Source organism: Homo sapiens, chromosome 10, assembly GCF_000001405.40.
Source record: "Homo sapiens chromosome 10, GRCh38.p14 Primary Assembly".
NCBI lineage: Eukaryota > Metazoa > Chordata > Mammalia > Primates > Hominidae > Homo > Homo sapiens.
The window spans coordinates 106164421-106188317 of record NC_000010.11 but is presented as its reverse complement, the minus strand read 5'-3'; the positions used below and the strand labels follow the sequence as shown (position 1 = coordinate 106188317).

The window sequence follows — 23897 nt, the reverse complement described above, 5'->3', positions numbered from 1 at the left end:
TTGTTTTCAAAGTAGAAAACAAAAACCAAAGAATAGGAATAAACTATATTTTTAGGGGAAATAAGAGAAGAAACTGCAGAAGTTTAGAGAAACTTAGGAAACAGAGCCAGAGGATTCTGTTTGATCAAAAATATACATTTTAAACTCCTGGATTTAGAGACCTTACTTGAAATGTATACCTCTTCTTCTCTCCAACACTGTATCTATGCAATTCCCTACTTTGATATGAATTGTAATCATAAAAATGATATTATAGTATTTGTTCTTCCCCTGTGGGTCTAAGATATGTCTGCCAACTAAGATTTGCAGAATATAAAAACAAAAGAAAAATAATATCTGGATGACAACATCAGAGCACATGGTTTAAATGGGAATTTGTTTACTTTGGAGATGGACCAAAAACAACATCATAGAAACCCTTAAACCATCAGGAATAGAAGAGCCTCACATCTGGCATCTTTTCTACTAAAACAGAAAAGTATTTTTTTTTGACTAAGATGTTGCCCCCCTTGGCTGGGTGCAGTGGTTCACGCCTGTAATCCCAGCACTTTGGGAGGCCGAGGCGGGTGGATCACAAGGTCAGGAGATCGAGACCAGCCTGGCTAACACAGCGAAACCTTCTCTCTACTAAAAATACAAAAAATTAGCTGGGCATAGTGGCACATGCCTGTAGTCCCAGCTACTCAGGAGGCTGAGGAAGGAGAATCACTTTAATCCGGGAGGCAGAGGTTGCTGTGAGCTGAGATGGCACCACTGCACTCCAGCCTGGGCAACAGAGCGAGATTCCATCTCAAAAAAAAAAAAAGAAAAGAAAAAAGAAAAAAAAATTGCCCCTCTTACTAAGTGTATTCTACAGAATTTATTTGAACCAAAAGTACCTGTACTCATAGAATGGTAGTACTTCAGCTCAAGAAAGTTAAGTCAAAAGAGGCCTTGAGGGGACCAACGTTTTCCAAATAAGAAAACTGATGCCTGGTAGAGTGCCATGCTTTCTCAAAGCAGCTTGATGACAGAGCCAGGGCTTGAAGTCTCTAGTGACCCTGTATGCAACCCTTTGAGAAACTGTCCATGTGTCATTTTATATCTACATTCTCAAAACTGTAGTGTGTTTTATAACTCAGAGTGTCAGAGTTAATTGGAAGTCAAAAGAAGAAGGTATCCAATTGAACATCTAAAACAAAACAGATTTCAAGTAGGCACACATGGAAGGAGAATTACCTGTGTTTCTGCTTTAGAAAGTGTTTGGGGAATGAGGCTAAGCACTTAAGAGTTAGTTAATATTTACCATGCTGTGTTATAATCACAAGAATCTGAGCTGATGCTGTTGGGTAAAAATGGTCTCCATCTTTTCAGAAAGCAGCTTCTATCCAGCCATGGGGAGGGAACAAACAAGACCATGGAGAGACATGACTGAATTATTAAAAGCCTCGTCTACTTATAAGGATTAATTGTGAGTTCTGAATCAATATTTTATCATTTTAGCTAGTGAAAAATTTATGAGACAGCCCCTTTTTTGCAAGTGCCCCAGTATAATTAAAAGAGATCTAACCTTTCAATTGGCATATTTTTCTGCTTATACCTAGATGACATTGATTAGCTAAGCCCTAATCGAGCTAGGAACAGTCTCTTAGACCCTCTTTACTCAGTATCATTGTACCCATATTCCCTGTATACACACAATGCTTAATGTATTAATTTATTCACTCACTGAGAAAACACGTGTTGAGTATTCAAATGAAAATCACTGAAACAGATGCCATGGGATATATAGTGATAAGAGATACATAGTCCTGGTCTACCCACAAAACCCAGACATCATTATGATTAAGCACCTACATGTAATCCAGCTTTTCTTAGGTCACACCACTGTGTATATATGTGTGTGATGTGTGTTTTTGTGTGTGCGTGTATGTGTGTGTATGCAATGGATGTAGTTATTGATTCACAATAACAAAACAAAAAGCCTAAATTCTCCTGTCTCCTACTTAACATTGTCAGATATATTCTATATCCTCTTTTTAGTATCTTTCCTAAGATAATACTTTTTTGAAAGCTCTCAGGAAGTGATCCACATAGAAGCAGTGTAAAAAAATGGATGTCAGCATGAGCTTGGAATTTGAATCCAGACTACACAGCTTAATAGTTTTGCGACCACAGACAAGTTTCCTAATCACAGTTTCACCATTTGTAAAATAAAGATAAACAAAGTACCTCCCTCCACATATTTGTTATAAAGATTAATGAGAATAAAAATGTGTGGTACAGTGCCTGATGTAAAATAAGTGATCCATTGTTATTTATTATAAATACGTGTCTAGTTTTATGTATCATATATTTCATTGGCTCTGAAGTGCATTTTTTTCTATTTCAGCATCTTTGAAATTGGGATGTGATTTAGAATCTACAATGTCTCAAACGTGATGAAAGAGAGAATTATATGAAAGAGAGAATTATATAAAGCACATATTTATATAACAATAAATGATATGTATTATCATGGGCTCATGGACAATCGCATCAGCAATGTTAATATTTCTATCCTTTTATTCCTTCTTGATCCAGTTCAGTGTGGTGAGTCAATGTTTAGGTCCAGGTATCATGATGTGGGCTTTATAGCTAGGACTCAACGAGACTTCTTGCTGTGCTGTTGTTGTTGTTGCTGTCTGCTGATACCTGAACTGGGGTGTCTAGCAGTCAAGATCTGGTGCATCAAGTAACTATGGAGAGCATTAAGGCCTATTACTACAGGAATGATTTGAGCTTATTATGACAAAAGTCAGTGTAATTTCTGCTAATGTGGGAGATCTTTTGGCTATACCTTTGTATCACACTCTGTTGCCCACAACTCAAGGCAGTTCTGCCTGGGACCCCTTATACTTGAATGTATTCGTTAAATAGCTCATTCAGGTTTGGTTTGCAGACTGTCCTTGAGCTCAGGCAGGAGGGAGAAGTTAAGTGACTGGCAATGTGTGCTTATCACACATTGTCCCCTTTCTCAGGAAAATATGAATATCTGACTCTTATTGAAAGACAAGTTGTTTCCTAGGTGTCTGATCACTCCCAAGCTGCCTGTGTGTGCTGCACAAATATCACAGCAGAGCGTTCAGGTGGGGATGTGCAGTGTGTGGTATGGTGGTCCTGGTGTCTGTTCCTGTGCTGTCTGTTTCACTTGTCTGTGCTCAGGTGCATTTCCTGCATTTCCCCTGCTTGGCTTCATATCATAGGGGATTGACCCCTGCAAACTCTGTTTCCCAGGACTCCCTCTCCTTCTGGCTTCCAGCTAGGTCTGGGCAACAGTGAACACTCACAAGAGTTTGAACAGAGGGAGAAAAGAAAAACTTGAGTTAGTTCTCATTTTCTCTGTTTTTGGTAGTGTTGTTAGAGAGGACTGCATGTCTCCTATGGTTCCCGTTCTTGCTGGACATCTCCCCTTGACCTCACCTCCTACCATTTCTACCCCACCAAGGTAACCAGTCTCTCGGACTCTGGAAATTCCATTCCCTCCCTTATTCCTGTAGCCTAAGGGTGATAACAACTTTCTAGTTTTGCTAATTTGGGGGTTACCTTTTTATCAACTGTTTGGTATTTAAGCTCCTCCCACATGTTTGTAGCTAGTTTTCTATTTTAAAACCTTACTAGTTGGCTACCTGGAATGGGTTTCACTTTCCTGATATAGGCCCATGCAAATAGACCTCAGGAGTCCCAACCCTACAAAATACCTACCCAGGTGTATCTGAACACTGGTGAAGGCAACATAGACTTTGCTTGGATCTGTAATACAGGCATATATTGAATCAATTAACATATGGTCAAATGTGAAGACAGAGTCATTGAAGAGCCATCTGGAACTTTTGAACAGGCTGATAGAAAAGATGGCGAGGGTGGTGATGAATGTTTCAGTGCATGGAGTTCAGGATGAGGGGTGGCATTTCTGAAAAATGAAACATCACATTTAGGCTGGGCGTGATGGCTCAAGCCTGCAATCCCAGCACTTTGGAAGGCTGAGGTCGGAGGTTCAGTTGAGCCCAGGAGTTAAAGACAAACCTGGGAAACAAAGCAAGAACCCCTCTCTGCAAAATAATACTAATACTGCTAATAATAATAATAGTTAGAATAATGATTCAGTTTGGAGTATGGTATACTGTGGAAGACAGGGAAGATATTACAAATTAATAATAATATCAGTGACAACTAATATTTATTTTCATTTTAATATTTGCCAAGCACTAAGTGGTCAGTATACATTCTGTAATTTATTCGTAGAAAACCTTGTAATGGAAGCATTGTAAGCCACATGTAATGATGTGGAAACCTAAGATGAGAAATGAGAGTAAGTCTTTAAAGTAGAAAATGAAAACTAAGTGGCAGAGCTAAACTATCAAATGTGATGCCAGCCCCATCTACTCAGCCCAGACTTACTTTTCAGCCTTCAACAGGCCAAGCCGATGTCCACTTTATGGCATTTTCACATTTGCTTTTATATCCTTGGAATGTTGTGCCTCCTGATCTTCACCTTTTCCTCTTTTTGACATCTAGAAATAGTGTATCCATGTATTTGTTTCTGATTATTTTCTCCTGCGCCTACTTCAGCTAGAATATAAACTTCATAAGAGCAAGAACTTCAACTACCTTTCACTGTTGTGTTACTTGTGCCCAGAACAGTACATGGTATGGAGCTACATCATAATTATTCATTGAACAGAAGAATGGCACATAATAGGGCTTTAGTAAATATCCATTCTCAACTCCCTGTGTGTCCAAAAGTCAGTCCCTCAGCCACTTTCAAGGGCATAGACTGCATACCCATAAAGGTCAATGGATCTGCTTTCAGAAAAAAAAAAAAATAAGGCAATCTATAAGTGGCAGCATTTGGGACGATCTCTCCCAGCTAACTATTATCGTTTAGGCTGAGAAATGAGATTCGTACCCTGCCAAACTATTTATACTTTTTAGGTAATTAAAGTAATGAAGTTGTCTGGGAGCACAACACATTGTGTGCTATCCCCTCAGGTCCAATTCATCTGCTTTAGTTTCTGACTCCAGTTAACAGTTTTATGTAGGAAAATCACATAGAATAGTGGGAATTCATGCAGAGCCACACGCCGGAACAAGCTATTTGCTATTTCCAAGAGAGAAATGAATGAGGAAAGGAAACAGGGCTTAAGTCTGCTTTCTCTGTTTCATGCAAGAACTGTGTATTTTAAATAGGCCTAATGAGGCGTGGGGAGTTTCAGCCTATGCAACACAAGCCCTCTATGTGGACATTGGAAAGCACTTTGTATTTAAAAATATATACATAGATGTAAACATATAGAGACAATTTATTTTGCCAGAGATCAGTGTAGCATAAAGGGTATGTGTATTCCTATAGAAATATTTTTCTCAAACAGGACACAAAGCACTGTTTCTTTGTTAAGACAAAGCCTTAGGCAGGAAATTCCCTCTGGGGTGGATAGTTTGAGCTTCTGCACACCTTCAACAGCCTCTTCCTTTCTACAGGTTCAGCCTAAGAGGCAGAAGTCTTAAGGCAGGCTCTCTTGCATCTACTCTGTCTGGAGGCAATGGCTTTCCTGGTTCCCTACCTCTTGGACCTTGGCTGCAGGCCAGCAGGAACACAGACATGCCAGCCAGTAGGTTAGTTATGCTTTCTAATTAGTCACTGCCAATCTCTGGAACATTTTCTTTCTTTTTTTCTAATTTTCCCCTCATTTGTTTTACTATGTAGATGGCTTTCAAATTTGTCTTCAAATAATTACAAATATTCCATACCATTCCAATTGAGGTGTAGAAAACAGAGTGAAAATATGATGTTCACAACACTGGGGAAAACCCACCAGGTTTCCTCTCACCTGGGCCCAGACAGTACTGGGGAGCAAGGTAAATAAATCTTCAGATCTGCCTATAGACACTGGAAGCCGCATGTGTGAGCCAATTTTGCTGTTTTTCATGCCGATGTGTTTTACTACGATTCTCTTCACAAATATCCCTTCAAAGATCACCTTCCATCCAGGTCTGACATTCAGACTGTGTACTAGAATGGCTATGTCTGGTCTTTCTGTTTATTAAAAAAACAACAGAAATATTTCCGTACAAGCTGGTAAATAGCCATGCCCTGAGCTCCCTAGATTCCCCAGCTTCCCTGGCCACCTTGACTCAGAGAAACCTTGATTTTCAGGATCCAAGTTTATATCTGGCCCCACAGGTGGTCTGTCAACCTGTTTCAACACTGTAGATGACAGCAGTTGTGACTGCCTGACCAAGTTTTGAAGATTAGGAATAGCACTTCTGCTTCTAATAAAAAGGGGGTTCATCTTTATAGTGCCATCCAGTCTTCCCTCACTTTGGGAATAACTTAGATTCCATGAGAAGAGCTAGAAGCACTGTTAGAAGACAAAGCTGCACAGCACAATACAGGCTTGGGGGTCAGCCTGAAATGTATTTTAATTTTACTTGCCAGTTGGATGAGTTTCTGCAGTTGTCTTCTCCAAACATTGCTATCATATTTTGTCTTTGAACTTCAGTAGCCTGATCTGTGAATCAGAGTAGTAATTGGAATGCAAGCAAGAGGAATAGAAGTGACTGATATTTGAAAAACATTTTTTAAGGATGCAATGAAAAATAATTTACTGCAGTTCACAGAGTCAAAGGAGGAATTGAGCAATGGAGCATTGTTGGGAAGAGTAAAAACCACAGCAGAGCCGGGTGTTTCTGAACAGATGGCCGGGCTTCAACTATGTTCCATTTCCCTTTATATTTTATTTTATTTTATGTCTTGGAGACAGAGTCTCTCTCACCCAGGCTAGAGTACAGTGGCACGATCTAAGCTCACTGCAACCTCTGCCTCCAGGGTTCAAGCGATTCTCCTACCTCACTCTCTCAAGTATCTGGGATTACAGGTGTGCACCACCACGCCTGACTAATTTTTATATTTTTAATAGAGAAGGGGTTTCACCATGTTGGCCAGGCTGGTCTTGAACTCCTGACCACAAGTGATCTGCCTGCCTCAGCCTCCCAAAGTGCTGGGATTACAGGCGTGAGCCACCATGCCTGGCTATTCATTTGTATTTTATTAAGATTCATATTTTTGGGACAGAGAATCTGGTTGCGCTATTTGTTCTCCTGTCTGTCCCTATATCTAGGAGAGCAAGTCTGTTTTATTGGTAGCCCCAAAAGAATAGGGAAGAGGAATTTCCTGAAGAAAAGGAAAACAAGTAAACAACAATAATCAAGATATCTACTTATCCACTAGACATTAATCACAGGGTACCACAGAGTTTAAAGGAGATAACATATATCAATTGCTTAGCTTAGTATGTAGTTCAAACACTCAATGAATAGATGCTAATAATATAATGAATGATAATAATGCGGCATAGAAGAAATATAATATCAGTGCTATTAAAAGTAGCAGCTGCTGGGTGTGGTAGCAGGCACCTGTAATCCCAGCTACTAGGGAGGCTGAGGCAAGGAGAATCCCTTGAACCTGGAAGGTGGGGTTTGTGGAAAGTGAGCTGAGATCACACCGCTGAACTCCAGCCTGGGCAACAGTGCGAGGCTCGGTCTCAAAAAAAAAAAAAAAAAAAAAAAAAAAAGCAGCTGTAGCGCTGGTAGTATGGTGAGAATATGGTCTTTAGCTTTAAAAGGCTAGATATAAGATCAATGGCAAATCTGAGACTCATTTTCTTCATTAGAGAATGAGGGATATAATAGTTTTTTTGAGTTACTAAATTAAATAACATAATGTACATAAAGCACTTATGGTTCATGGCTAAGTACTAAATTTTTTGTGTGTGTGTATATGTCCTTATGTGTGTATATATATGTGTGTATGTATGTATATATACCTCTACACCTAAATTTATATATCTTTATCTGACATATATGAGATTATATCTTAGGACTTTAAAGGAATCATAAAATCCATGATTAAGGTAGGTTTGAGGTTGTGTCTATGGGTAGCCTTTCCTTGACCCCCTTCCATCTACAAATAGGCTCCCTTATCATCCACATGTAGATAGATCTGGCATTTCATTCTATAAAACACATCTGCCTCTTGCAGTCTTTGTGCAAGAATATTGTTTCCTCATCAATTTTAAGGGTGATTTATTATTGTTTTTGCTGTTATTATTTATTTTCAAACCCCACATTAATTATTCAAAATTAATAACAGCTGCATTTGTAAAATGAGATCTAGATAGAGATGAAAGAATCTGCTCATGAAGCTGACCCCAGTCATGCGTGACTCAAAGCCCACTCCATGCTCCTTTTCTGTGCTTCCTTCTGGAGAAGAAAAGCTCAGAGCCAGAGGGGTTGATGTCATTAAGAACAAACGGACACTTTCCTGGTGACTTCCTTGGGAATTGGTCCTTTGCTTTCCTATCTGAAGTCCACCTTGATAAAGCAGCTGGCCCTTTGTACTGAAAGGAGGGGTTATCTCTTTTCAGGGAAATCTCTGCTTTGAATTATTCGTCTTTGAAAGTAAATGCATTAATAAAGTTGTCTCACTACAGAAGAGGACACAGTCTATCAGCCTAGGTCCCCACTATGTGTTTTGTTTTGTGATGTTCCAGAATACAAGGGGAGGAACATTAGGCATAAATGACATTAAAACAACTTGAGGTCAATAGATGATGGAACTAAGTAGTTGCCATAGTGGTAGTTTTCCCCAACAGCTGCTGTCCATTCAATCCTAGCTAATTGTTTACCCTTTGACACACAACTAGATGTATTTCAAAGTGGTCCCACTCAACTATTTAAATAAATTATGATGCAAAGATGTAGTGTAGCACTGGCAGCTGTTCTTTTTAAAGACTCTATAATGACATGGGAGAAATCTTTCAAATATATTGTTTGGTGGAAAAAAAAAAGTCAGGATTCAAACATGATGTAATATAATCTCAAATAATATGCTTATATAAATTTTTTTAAAAAGGCAACTATTCAAAATTCTACGTTCCAAATATTCTATAAAAAATATATGTTTCTTTATAGACATAAAAACAATAACTGCTCTGCTGTTAAAGAGGGCTTCAGCAGTTCTTTATGCAGCCTAAGGATCCTGGTAAGGAATGTCACTGGACCCACCCATCCCTGGAAATCTAGGATGCCCTCATCCCTTTTCATGAAATGTATTCTTCTACATGTGATTGCCCAGGAAGTGACTTTAGTCCACTTACCACTTAGACTTTCAGATAAGATTCGAAGTCTATACCTGACCACATTATTTCAATTTGAATGGTGGAATCTTGCCACTTCCATACTGAATTCATACTTAGGAATTCCATTATATTCCCCAATTCATTTTTCCACCTTGTTTTATGATGTATGTACCTAGTAAGCTGTCCCCCTCTAGACTGTGGGTTCTGTAGAGGACATAGAGTGTCAGATTCTGCAATACATTCTTTGTGTCAGCAGGTCACCAAAGAGCAAACAGTGCTAAAAATTGGTATGAGCAAGGTCTTCTTAATGCCAACTGCTTTGGGGTCTGCAAAGATTACTATATTCCACATCTTTTTTTGTCAAGGAGAGAACAAGGTGAGATAGATATGGTGATTATGTGGTGACAAGAACACAAATAACTATTATATAGTCATAGGACAGAAGACGTGTCAGGTTCTCATAGTATAAGCAAAGACTTGAGAGATTCAACGGAGATTGAAATCATATGGTTTAGTGGGTTTCCGAGGATGACTGATGAAGGATTTTTCCCTCATGTTGGGACTTGAAGGAGATAGAATTTGGTAGGCCGATAATAGGGTACTTGAAGAAAAATGCAAAGCATGCATAATTGGAAAGTGTGGATAATTTCCAAAGATGGGTATATCTCTGGGAGCCAAGAGAATTTACTTCTTACTGTGTCATAAGGAATAACATAGAGAATGCAAGGTACTTAAGTCAAGGTCCTATTGCCAGGGTTAGTTTGTTACAGGGAGGTTATTTTCAATTTGTAGGAACTGGAAAATTACAAGTGGTTTTCATGTAAAGTTATGATATTACTCAACCGTGTGGAAGCCTGATTTATTTAGAAAGAATCTAGGGACGGGGATACTAATTAGGGGGTTATTATATTATTTTGTTAAAGATAGAAGGAGAAACTAGATTTGCAGCATCGGGAATAGAAAGGAGAGAAATACTGAAATGCACAAAATCCATGTATCTAAATCATAGCCATTTTGCAAGGTACATAATGTTCTTTACAACCTATACTTAATTTGTAACTCGTGCAATAATGGATTACAAGTCTCACCTACCCACATGCATTTCTTCCTCCATGAGTACATCATTCTTCAAGCAATTCCACATCATTCTCTAGTCTGTTGTTTTGTGCATGCCATCTTTGTCCAGAATCCCCTCTCAGTAGCTCAAATGCTGCTTCTCAGTATCTATTGACTCCTCCAGGAAGTTCCATTTAATTTTTCTGACAATATTTAGTCTAATATTTGATAATGCATGGTAATCTAAATGAATGCATATCTGTCTTTCCCACTAGAGCCTGAGTTCTCACTCCCAACCTCAGGATATCTGCAAATTCAAAAAGCATTTCTTTTAAGCCCTCTAAGTCATTGCCCCAAATATTAAACAGGACAAGGCCAAGGCCCTGTCATCCTCCATTAATTTTATTTTAAAATATTTATGGAGGCCTGCACTCTGATGAATGCTGTGCAGGATTTAGAAAAAGTAAAATACATAGTTCCTGTTCCCAAATTGCTCACAATATAGCACAAAAACAAGACTAACACTTGTAAAACAATTAGAGGACAAATATCACATTATATAATTAAGGGTTTAATTGTGTGGTGAAGATTTACAGGAGACTTAAGTGGAGGGAGATTGGAGAGCATGAAAAAGTCAAGAATGGCTTCATGGAAGAGATGGAAAGAAACAAAAGAGAAATAGCAATAGGACTGGAAGGTGTTTCCTAACTAAACCACCTGCTCTGACTTTCTCCCTTGTGACATATACCTCTGAGACTTGTCTGGGACAGATGGAGACATGGATGTGCAATGGCTCAGAGTCAGGGGATGAGGCAGGAAAGGACGTGAACATAGACATTTTGAAAATAAAGAACTAAACCAGCAGTTTTATAGGACAAATCAGCTTTATATATGAACAGTTCATTTCATCTGAAGTTAGAAATAGAGTTCAGCTGACATATTCACTATCTCTTTCATCAAGATTCAAAAAAAGTTGGTAAACCAGGAAGAAACTGATTCCTTTATAATAATTACTAAAAGGCCCTTGTATCCAAATCTTTCCTCTGAACAATTCAAAGCAGTCAAGGAATTGAACTCTAGCTATTCAAATGAGACAAATTTTAAACAACTATAGACATAAACATTAATGCTGATATTTATTTGAAATTATTTGTCTTTGATCTATTTTTGGCTTATCATTCTAGAACCAATGACAACACATGATTTGCAGATTATAAAAACCTGGCTTGGCCGGGCGCGATGGCTCACGCCTGTAATTCCAGCACTTTGGGAGGCCGAGACGGGCGGATCACGAGGTCAGGAGATCGAGACCATCCTGGCTAACACGGTGAAACCCCGTCTCTACTAAAAATACAAAAAAAAAATAGCCAGGTGCCTGTAGTCCCAGCTACTCGGGAGGCTGAGGCAGGAGAATGGCGTGAACCCGGGAGGCGGAGCTTGCAGTGAGCCGAGATGGCGCCACTGCACTCCAGCCTGGGTGACAGAGCGAGACTCCGTTTCAAAAAGCAAACAAACAAACAAACAAAAAAAGCCTGGCTCAAACCAGGTATCCTGAGAAATGAGATGTATTCCATTTCCGCATTAAAGCTGCATAATGTTAACACGGTGCATGGAATAAGAGGTTGCCATCAATGAAAACCCGCTGCAGTACTGTATTTTGTCCATAACCTTGTTTTTCTTCGATATCAAGAAATTAATTTTTATGCCGAGTTTTTTAGTCCATGCATCTGAGAATTAATAATTGTGTAGAATTGAGGATGAGCCAAAAAATCAAAATGTGAAGGTAGATTTAATATTTCTATCTTCAAATGGTTTGCTGTTTTTTTGTATTGATATTTTATGAACACCAGCAGCAAAAGTATGCATATACACGTATACACACACGTATATGACAGTGTATATACATATATTTTTGAAACACACTATTCTTGTATAATAATATTGAAACAGAATATTTCTCTGAAATCTTTAGATTAATTTGCATCACTTTTATATAATTTTCTCTCTGTATGATTGAAGAAATATTTGGGTTGTCAGGCTTAGTTACATATAAAGAGAACAATCAGAAATAGTGAAAATTTACACGTGATATGTTTTTCTCCATCTGACTTTACTGCCTTTTACCCACAAGGTGGCACTCTCTCGATATGTCTAAATTCAAGCCTTTTTAATAAAGATACATCAAAATAGAAATCTTCCTCAACCAACCTTCATTGTTAACAACCTTCCCAAAAAACAAAGTGAATTCACAAATGCAGTTTGGAAAACTAGTATGGTTAAATGTATCGCATAGATCCCTTACAAGATGTCACTGTTTATATTGTAAATCTGTAAAGTCCTTAATTCTGGATCAGTCAATTTAGGTCTGATTTTGTTCTCAGTATGAACAGCAAAGCGGATTGTCCCTACTAAATCTGATTAGTCTTGAGGCACCTCTATTCAGTATTTCTTCTTAGGAAGTACACAGGCGCAGCCCAGAGGATGGGGTTTATGGAGAGAACTGGTGTGCTGTGATTGCAGTGACCACATGTCCCCAGTTTTTTTGGACAAAAATAATTTTAAATGGGCTTTTCTAATAACCACATCTGGATATTCATATTTCTAGAGAACGTCTTCCTTTTTTTTTTTTTTTTTTTTTTTTTTTGAGACGGAGTCTTGCTGTGTCTCCCAGGCTGGAATGCAGTGGCGCGATCTCGGCTCACTGCAAACTCCACCTCCTGGGTTCAAGCAATTCTCTGCCTCAGCCTCCAGAGTAGCTGGGACTACAGGCGCCCACCACCATGCCTGGCTGATTTTTGCATTTTTAATAGAGACAGAGTTTCACCATGTTGGTGAGGATGGTCTTGATCTCCAGACCTGTGATCCACCCACCACGGCCTCCCAAAATGCTGGGATTACGGGCATGAACCACTGTGCCTGGCCCCAAATTTTTAAATTCAAAAATAGTTAATATTAAAGACAGTCTTGATCTCCTTCTCAACCAAGTGTACATGGAGTCTGTTAGCAACATGACAACAGATGTTCAGTCCTTTTTTAAGTTCAATATTGGCCCTGGGAGATGTCCTATTCATTGGCCGGTGGATGCACAAAGATAAGGCTCTGGCAGCTAGATCCTAGGATCAAGTCCTCCCTATCAGCTTTCACTGCCTTTCTTAGAAGCTGTTTCAGGAAAGAGATATGGCCTTTGCTTGAGACACTTCCTTTGAAATTGAACTCTTAAAAATCAGAGAGAGCATCCCCCAAAAATAGTTCCATAGATCTACATTCTAGTTTTTTAGTCAGAATTTTATAAAGCCTCTTTTCTTACCATTGAATAATTATAAAATAAAGAGTTTTTCAGTAGTGAAAATGATATGTTTTCTATATCATGCAATTGCTAGGTGCACACTGGGTAGTGCCTACAAATAAGAATATTAGAGATCTCGCCCCTCACTGACCCCCTTATGTATATAAAAGAAAAGCAAGTCATACTATAACTGGTTGTCACTAAGACAGGTTAGAGTAAGGTAACAGATTTGTTACAATCCACATCTCTGCCTTTTACCTAGGTAGAGATAAATCAGCAACAAATTCTACATTCTACTAATGATTCTACTAGAGATGCAGTCTGCTTATGTTTCAAAGCATTTTCTTGGTACATGGAGCAGCTGATTAAAATGTCCATGAGGGAAAGCTCATGTATAAAATGAACTCAATTTGAATGAAAGGAGGTGGAGCCTGTAGAAATTTCAAATACAGAAGAATGTGAAGTGGGTAATGATTACAAGGAACCGGCAAAATAGAATAAAATAAAAATTTGATTAACTAAAAAATGGACTAGACAGAGAGAGGCACTGTGTAAAATTTTTATACAAACAATGTCCTCCCTTGTATTATTGTGGAAATGACAACTGGGAGGAGTTACGGGCTTGCAAAATTGAGTAGATGCGATAAAATGGGAGTTTTGCTTTGGGAAACATCTTTGATGCATATGGTATTGTGAAAAGCATTACAGCCCTGGCATAAATAATCTAGGTATAAGTATACCTGATAGACACTTGCAGGCAGTAATGTAAGTGGAAAGTAAACAGAAGGATTTGATTTGATTTAAAATGAGGAGGGAATCTGATAAAACAGAGACTATGATAGAGGAGTCAAATGGAAGAACAGGAGTTATAAAGCAGACACAAATCAGCATAAAGAGATGAATATGAATATAGAGATGAGCGAAATATCAGCCCAGCCCTAAATATGTTACACACTGGGCTCCTGCTGTACACAAAGAATATATGCTACCTGACCTCAGAGGCTACAAAGGGGAACAGCATAACACAGAATCTTTTACCAATAATATTATAATCTTATTGAGGAGAAAAGAGATAAATACATTAAAAAGTTAGGTTTAATACAAGCATTAACAATACAACAAAATTTTTACAACATAATTCATGAAGAGTTACAGAGAGACAAATCACATAACTGTAAATGGAGTTTATCATCAACATTAAAAGGAAAAAATAGATAATCAATATCACATCAATTTCTTGGACACACTTTTATACAACTGTTTGAACTCTGATAATAAGAACTAACACAAGCTAAGGTAAAATGATATAGGCATATCGAGACTTTGCTTTAGTATTTATGGTTTTCCAAAATGTAAGCTTCAGCCTTTGAGCTCAGCAATTTAAAACTGTAACGGCTATGTTTGATAACTCAGAAAAATATGCTTTCTAAGTCCTTTATTTTTACATGTTTATTCTATTAAAGCAAAGGAAAAAAGATGCTAAAATAGAAAAACGGTCTCTATACTTAAGTTAATTTAGCTTGCGTACCAATATTTTTAAAAGTAATTTTTGGATCCCAGGGAGAATCACTCACTCACATTAGATTTTCTTTTTAAATCTTGCCAGTGGTCATTAATTATGTACAATCATTTGTGACATTTAAAACTGTTAATTTCCTTTGTGATTTAGGCTGTGGGGATTTTATTTTTCAAGGAAACAGTTTCTCAAAACCCATACTGTAAATGATTTTAAAAATACCTCAATGAATAGTAACTATTTCTTCTTCTTATTATTATTAATCTATTTGAGTACCTAGGCCAGGAACTATGTATACATCAACCCTAGTTGACAAATTTGTAGTTAAGTCATTCAAAAGACAGGAACACTCAGAAAGGTAAAGTGATATTCCCCAACTAGAAAATGGTTGAGGGAAGGTTTATTTCCAAATCTGCCTAATTCCCAAATCATTGTTCTTTCCACCAGCTAATGCTGCCTCCTTAGAGAGAACCATATTGAGATGCTGCCATATTATAGATGCCTCTGTGTGTGTGTGTGTGTGTGTGTGTGTGTATATGTGTGTGTGTGTATGTGTGCGTGCGCTCAGAGGCTTTCACACAAATTTTTATATCCTAAATAAGTCTCTAACCAGCTTTATAATTTGGCAAAAACTGAAGTGCAAATTAGAATTAGATTATTTGTTTTATCTTTTCTGTTCTCGGCCTGCACTACCTTCATCCTATTCAAGAAAAGAGACTTTGTTGGGTGGCATGAAATTGGTTGCCAACGACTCTTAGGTGTCTTTTTGTTTTTATTTGCTTCCAGGGACTGATATTTCAATGGCTGCATAGTACCTGACCTAAAGGGGATACTCAATAAATGTCCTTGAAAGACTGAATTGTATTAATCTGTGTTTATATCTGATTGTTCCACACATAGCCCTTGTTTTCCCTCGTCTTGAAAATACCCAAATACACATTGCAATTTTATGTATTAAATAAAATGTATTCTCAGATGCACTTACATATGGACAATGTTTTAAAACTCACTTATATTTGCATTTGAAAAGCTTGTATCAGACCATTATATAATCTAACAATTATTAGGGCTCTTAGAGATACTATGGTTGAACCCTTTCATCTTACTGAAAGATAAAATTGAATCTTTGAGAAAGTAGGACATCTTTGTTTTAAAATTAAATAAGATTATAAATTCACCTAGGAAATTTAGAGATGTGTTTCTTTCAATAATGGTAGTGTTTCCTTATGTTGGTGACCGCTCCTTCCCTTGCTGGCTTACCTTTTGTGGCTGGGTAGGAGGCAGTGTTGCATGGAGTGTTGGGGTCAGAATGACCTGAGTTTGGGATATAACTCTGACATGCTTGACATGTGGCTTTGAGCAAATTACACAATTTTCTCTACCCAGAATTTCATTTTTTTAAATAAATTAAGCATTATAATAACTATCTCCAGAGATTGTTTTAAAGATTAAATGAGATACTGTATGGTAAGAACTTAGCATAATCCTCTTATAGTAAATGTTCAATAAATCTCAGGTTTTAGCACTGTTGTGACATAACCACTGCTTATAGTCTTTGAGTTTGAAGATGTCTATTTAACCTCTCTAAAATACATTGAAATGAAAAATGTTAATCATTCCTGCTCTGCCTACTGTGGCACTCCTACTGTGATTCCTTACCCTAACACCTCCTTTACTGGCTTTTCTCCTGCTCTGAATTTCTTTCTCCACTCTCATCATCTTGTTAAATTTTACCTTAAATTAACTATGTGCTCCCAAACCTTTGACTCAGGCTCTGTCTGTAGGAGAGTTCAGCAAAGACAGCCCTTTATATGAATTCACTTTCAGAGCTAAGTAAATTAAAACCAAATTTAAATGGATTGTTATGATAAAGAAATTTGTTTGATTCACACAATTCAAAGTCCCAGAGAAAATATTTATTCCTGCCCTTTTACTAAAGTGCCAATATTACAAAGATTTGATTTCTCTCCAACACCTTGCTTAGACTTCTAATATACCGGCTTTATCCTATGGTTGCTATTCCTCATGGTCCCAAGATGTGTTCCAGAAGGTTCCACAGTAAGATGCATTGCCATTTATGGGTGATGTGAACGACGTGATGTCTTCATTCCAGGGTGCTTAGAAAATTTCCTGAGATTCACCCTGACTGCATCAGCATATGTTCCATGTCCATGCCTGTACCAATCACTGTGACCAGGGAAATTAAACATGTGGATTGGCTTAGATTCAGTTATGGGTTTCAGCCTAGAGTGGGTGAAGGAAGCAGCTTCTTTGAACCTATAGAGATTCCCAAGCAGAAGTTGAAGCTGCTGGGAAGGGTTAACACCTGGGAAGGTGGTGAGCAGGTAATAAAAAATGTCGGCTGGGTGTGGTGGCTCACGCCTGTAATCCCAGCACTTTGGCAGGCCAAGGCAGATGCATCACTTGAGGTCAGGTGTTCAAGACCAGCCTGGCCAACATGGTGAAACCCAGTCTCTACTAAAAATACAAAAATTAGCCAGGCATGGTGGTGCATGCCTGTAATCTCAGCTACTCGGGAGGCTGAGGCAGGAGAATGAGTTGAACCTGGTAGGTGGAGGTTGCAGTGAGCCGAGATAGCACCATGGCACTCCAGCCTAGGCGACAAGAGCGAAACTCCATCTCAAAAAAAAAAAAAAAGTCTACTACTTGACTTCACATGATTGCAGTGAAACAAAAAGGAAATGATATTTGTGAATATTCTCTATAGTATAGCTATAAGGTGATATACAAATATCTGGTTATTGTCATCTGATTTTCCTTGGCAGGAGCATCTCAGGAGGTCTATCCGTTTGTCTCTAACCCATACCAAGGACTCTATGCAAAATAGTCCCAAGACCAACTTCACTTCTCCTTGGTGCTCAGTGAGAATGGTTGCTGCCTTTTGAGCCATGGCACACCAGCAGATGTGCATGGGCAGAAAAGCGCTGATAAATTTCTATATAGACAGAAAGAGCAATGCATGTGTTCCTCTGGGCAACATTTGATATTCACTGAAACAGCTGTTATCTCTCAGTCATTGCACATAAGGTTAAAGTGAATAGGATATTGTTAGTATAGACTCAAGCAGTTTTTTTTTTTTTTTGTAGCAATAGGACCACACCACACATGGGCCATTCTGCCATCTATGAGACTGTTCAATTTTGTTCCTCACAAGAGGAAAGAAATAACTTGAATCCACAGAAAACGTTATAGACTACCCTAAATATAGCATGCATTCTGCTTTCCATATTCCAAAGCTCTGAAACAAATTCAGGAAGTAACTTTGACTTCTTGTCATCAACTATGATTTATTTAAGAATAGCATTCCAAAACCTGAGTCCCAGAACCAACTAAATTAAAAAGATGAAACACATTTTAAAATATGTGACGGTGTTTAGATCAAAAGGATCCCAAATGCTGAGGTAATTGTCTTAGTAAATAATACGATGGGCACTTCAAATATGAACAAGTGATGGTCAGAGCGCAGATAGAATTTTTAGATGACATTTAACAAAATGCAGTGAAGATGGCCAATGTAAATGTTTTTCTTTTTTTCTTAATAAAAGAACATAGGGGCCATATGCTGAGGCACAAACAGTTGGAAAATGCAGTAATCCAGGAAAAAGAAGCAGATCAGCATTAATTCTAGCCTTGCTTTGTAGCGATAAATGTGTTTTTTAAAATGACTAATTGAATACATGACAAGAAAAGACATTCCTGGAAAATAACTAGCAGTTGAGAACATATCGCTACCTTGCAGAAACCGACTCACAGTAACTTATACTGAAAGGTGAAGTCAAACAAACAGAGTTAGAATTAATAAACCACAGCAATAACTCAGGGCATTGTGAAATGACTGAAAAAAATAGTCTTTACTCTGCAAACTTTTGGCACAAAGCTGCTTCTTTAAACCTGCTTGTTTTTGCGGGAAATCACACGTGATCAATGATTCTATGAGTAAGAAGTCATGAATATTTCAGGCTGTAGTAGTCGATTAAGTACACAGGCAGGAAAGGTGAAGAGGGAAATAGCTTGAATTGGTTACTGGCAATGTCTACGACTTGATGGTATATTTACAAAAGCCCCCAAAGCATCACCTGGTTTTATGAGTTGTATCCTATCATCTGATGCCACAGATAGGGTGTAGTGGCGTGACCAAATCTGGGCCAATGGTAAGGGAGAAATATTGCAGGGAAAGATTCAAAATGTCACTATACAAAAGACATGTAATATGCAAGATTGGGATAGAAGGCAACTACAGCAACTCAGAGGCAAGAAACTGTATCAGTTCATTCATTAGCACTCCAGAGGACACATTCATACAAAGAAGAACAAGGAAGTTAATTTCAACACAAGACAAAGGGAAACTTTCTACCACTGAAAACAGTTCAAAAGTAGAAGGTCTAATCAGGTCCTTTCCAATGAATGTGGTCAGAGACCTCTACCCCCAGACATGTTGAGCATCCTCCTCAGGGCTGAACCAAATAACTAGGTGAGGATGCAAAAGCTCTGGGGGAAATCTTTTTTTAAATTTTTGTTGCCAATATTCTTTTTATTTCTTTGGGACTTTGGAAGTTAGGAAAGAATTTCTGGAGCATTTGACAAACATTTTATACGGAGATCTGCAAACAAGGAAATTTCACTGAAGTTCTCAGAATTTATGAATTGCAGGACAAAGTTATTGGCTTTAATTTCTTTGAAAATAGATATTTTTTCTAAAATGAGAAGTGTGTATATTAGGACTGAAATTGATGCGGATGCAAAATAGCATTTAAGAATAGCATTCCTAAACCTGAAAGCCTAATATGACCAAAAGAGAAAGTTAAAACTTAAGTTGTCAATATAGAAATATTATGAGATTAAATGAGAATACACATATTAAAGGTATGTCATATAAACACTGGTTCCCTATCTTTTCATGGAAAACTCAGAAGACATATTTTTATATGTGCATGGTAGAAGTGTACAAATTCTAAAGACCTCTAACTTGGTAGTAATAGTCTCCAGTTCAGAAAATCATCCACCCCTAGATTTCAATCTTTGGTTATTTAGTCAGGGGTTCTGCAGTGTCTGCAAGTTCTTGGAATGGGAGTGTTCAGGTTTTCTCTGCCTTGAATTGTGGTTGAGATTAAAAAACGCCTTGGCACATCCTGTTTGAAGTACAGTAGATGAATCAAGTTCTGGCCATGTCCCAGCTATGGATGCTAAAATGGTATCATCTCCCTCAGCAGCTAAGGTTCCCAGCCATAAAGGCCAGGCGTCTTTAAGTGAAAGCTTCAGTGGGTTAATTGACACTTAGTGAGGTGTTTTTTTTTTTTTTTTTTTTTTTTTTTTGACAGAATGGCACAATCTCTATTATCTCATGGGAACAAGATGGTAGAGTTCTGGCTATGGTGTTCTGTTGGACAACAAGGCATAGCCCACTCAGCATGGGGAAGTGTAAACTGTGGTACATTTGAGGTTCCCTGGTAGAAAACAAGAACTTCCCAAACATGAAGTGATGCATGGAGAGAAACGTGGAGATAGCATGCATGTTCTCTCCAGGTATGAAGAGAAATCTTGTTCATAGAAGACTTGAGCTAGAAGGGGATAAACTGACCTTGCCAGGAAAACAGTCTTGAAAGCTGAGGTTACAGCGATGTGGCAAAGTACAGGTCTTTTTTTTTTTTTTTTTTTTTTTTGTGCCTGCTACCTTTGTTACTGATGGGAGTCCTTCAGAGTGGTTCTTTAAAGGAATAAGATATTTCAGTATCTTGCTTAGGCACCAGATCCATACTTTTAGATGTCTTCGCCATTACACAGCCACTTCTTAGGTGCAAACCAGCCTTGACATTGCAGTGACCTTATGGATTTGGCACCAAGCCTGCTACAGGCCAAGAACCACTCCCTACTCTACCTGAACCACTTAATCCCCCAAACATGGGACATCTTATACACATCTCTCCAGACAGTGAGGACTAGCCCCTTGCAATTACTCTCCCAAGGAAGATGATAAGTGCATTCAAGGTGATTTGTCAGTCTCAGTGTGTACTCTGAAATGTTTGGCTCTATTCACTGAATAAATAAAGATGCCACATACAATCTAGTGATACATCTTTCTATTAGGCATAATGTCGGAAAAGATATACAATAGTGTTAATATTAGTGTTAATATTTAAAGCAAACACTCCCTCAGTGTTCCTTTTCAAATCTTCTAAAGTTCATAGGTGAAATTTTTAAGGTAAACTGTAAGATAACTTTGTAAAAAATGTCATCAGGATTTCAATTATGTTTGGTACATATATATTATTTGCAGAATTTTGAAAATATTAGATATATTTATTTCTTCCCACCAGATGAATAATCTATTCCTCCATTTATTTGAACTTTTTACACATTTTATGATGAATTTCTATAGTTTCCTGATTTTGGTTCTAGACTTTGTTTTATGACCTAGAGTTTTGGAATATAAAAAGCTAAGAGCTTTATATATATTATATTCTCACTATTATATCTTCATTGTTTTAAAGTTTTAAAGTTAATTTTCTTTTATTTCTAGGGACAATCATATCATTTTGAAGTAATGTCTGTGTCCTTGTTCTCATCTGTTATAATCTCAGTTGACTTTTTGTATTATTCCTGATCTTAGGAGAAAGCATCCAATCTTTCACCCTCACATATGAGATTAACTGTGAGTTTTGATAGATTTCCTTTATCAGGTTGAGCAAGTTCTCTTTTTTCCCTATCTTGTTGAGTGTTTTATTTTTTTCCAACCATGAAATGAGATTGTATTTCTTTTCAAATACCTTTATGTATCTAGTGAGATGATTGCATAGTGTTTTCCTTTTATTATATTAATATGGTGTTTTATATTTATTGACATTTGGATATTAAACCAGCTTTACAACCCTGGGATAAAGCCCACTTGGTTATAGAGTGTAATCATTTTATGTGTTAATTGGATTTGGTTTGCCAATATTTTTTCAATATTTTTTGTGTCTATGTGTCTATATTCATAACAAGTATTGGCCTGTAGATTTCTTTTCTTATGATGTCTTTGGTTTTAATATCAAGGTAATACTGACCTCATAGACAATTTCTTCCTTTTTAAAAACAGTTTGTGAAGATCTAGTATTAGCTGTTCTTCAAATGTTTGGTAGAAATTACCAAGAAGGCCCTCTGAATCTTAAGCTCTTCTTTGTGAAAAGTATTGAAATTATTAATTTAATCTCCTTAATTTTTATATTTACTTTTTATTTGTGTAAAGCATCAGATATACTTTATTTGTTAATTTCTTTCAAATTATGTGTGTTTGGTACTGATTAAGAGAATGCCAGTACCAAACACACAGAAATAAAGGAATAATAAGGAAAGAGTATTGCAACTGTATGCCAATCAGAGCAGTTCCAAACATATTTCAGCCTTTAGATTTAGAAATATGAACCTTTTATCATTTTTCTTAATCATTCTAAATTTTTGTCAATTAAGTAATATTTTAAAATAACCAGTGTTTGTTTTGTTGATTTTCTCTATGTTTATTTCATTTGTTCACACACTTATTTTAATTATTCCCTGTCTTGTGCTTGCTTTGTGTTTAGCTTGTTCTTCCTTTCCCAATTTCTTATGGCAATAGATTATCAATTTGATTTCTTCTTTTTTTTCAATATAGATGTTTAAAGATATAAATGTCTCTGTCAGGACTATTTTAGTTTCATCTTATAAGTTTAAGTTTTTGTATGTTGTATTTTTGTTTCCATTATCTCAGAATTTTCTAGTTTACCTTGTGATTTCTTCCTTGATTCTGGTTATTTAGGAGTGTGTCATTTAATTTCCATATATTTGTGAATTTCCCAAATTTATTTTTGTTATTGATTTCTAATTTAATATCATTGTGGTCAGGAAACATGGTTTATATGATTTTAATGTGTTTAAATTTACTGAAGCTTGATTTATAGTCTAGCATATTGTCTATTTTGAAAATGTTACATAGTACCAGAGAAGAATGTGTATTCTTCTGCTGAGTGAAGTGCTGTATAGATATTTGTTAGATTTAGTTGGTTCAGTGTTGTTCATGTCATCTATATCCTTGTTATTCTCTCTAGTTCTATCCATTATTGAAGTGAATATTAAAATACCTAACTATTGTTGAATTGTCCCTTCCTCCCTTCAACTCTTATAGACTTTATGAGTTTTGGGGCTGTGTTGTTACGTGTATATTTATTTATAATTGTTATTCCTTCTGGATTTATTGATGCTGTTACCATTATAAAATATCTTTCTATTGATATTTTTGTTTCAAAATCTATTTTGCCTGGTATTAGTATAGGTCAGTTTTTTTATAATTGCTGTGCGCCTGCTATATTTCTCTTCATCCTCTTACAGTCAACCTGTTTCTATATTTGAATCTAAAGATACAAAGTATCTTTCCATCCTGAGAACAGAATATTGTCAGAAATTTTTTTTAATGCATAAAGTCTAAAAAACCCTGCCCTTAATGCATTTGCATGTAATGTTGTTATTGATATAATTGGGTTTAGGTCTGCCATTTTTCTTTTTGTGTTTTATATGTCTCATGTGTTTTCCTCCTATTTTATTCCTCTTTTACTGACTTTTTTGTGTTAAGCTGAGGTTTTCTGGTGTAATGTTTTAATAACTTGACATTTGTTTTCACTTTTTTATTCTCTTAGTCATTGGTCTAGGGCTTACCATATGTTTGTTATCAGAATCTACTTCAGATTTATACTAACTTAATTATAATGAAATATAAAAATTTATTCCTATACATCTCAATTCCATGTTCTTTTCATGCTATTATCATTTTACATATTATATTTATATGTTATAATATAAAAACACATTATAAATGATATTTTATATATTTTTATGTTTATAAAAAACAGGA

The 23897-nt window shown here is 36.9% G+C and overlaps 1 long non-coding RNA gene across 1 annotated transcript in view; it reads right to left on the bottom strand.

Moving 5' to 3' along the window:
* Nucleotides 1-23897, bottom strand: part of LINC02624 (long intergenic non-protein coding RNA 2624) — a 48558-nt gene that overhangs the window by 405 nt on the left and 24256 nt on the right. The window contains exons 2-4 of the long non-coding RNA NR_134330.1: nt 4420-4532; nt 3724-3771; nt 1286-1363 (exon numbers count right to left, since the gene is read on the bottom strand). This is a non-coding gene — a long non-coding RNA (long intergenic non-protein coding RNA 2624). The remainder of the gene's footprint in view (nt 1-1285; nt 1364-3723; nt 3772-4419; nt 4533-23897) is intronic.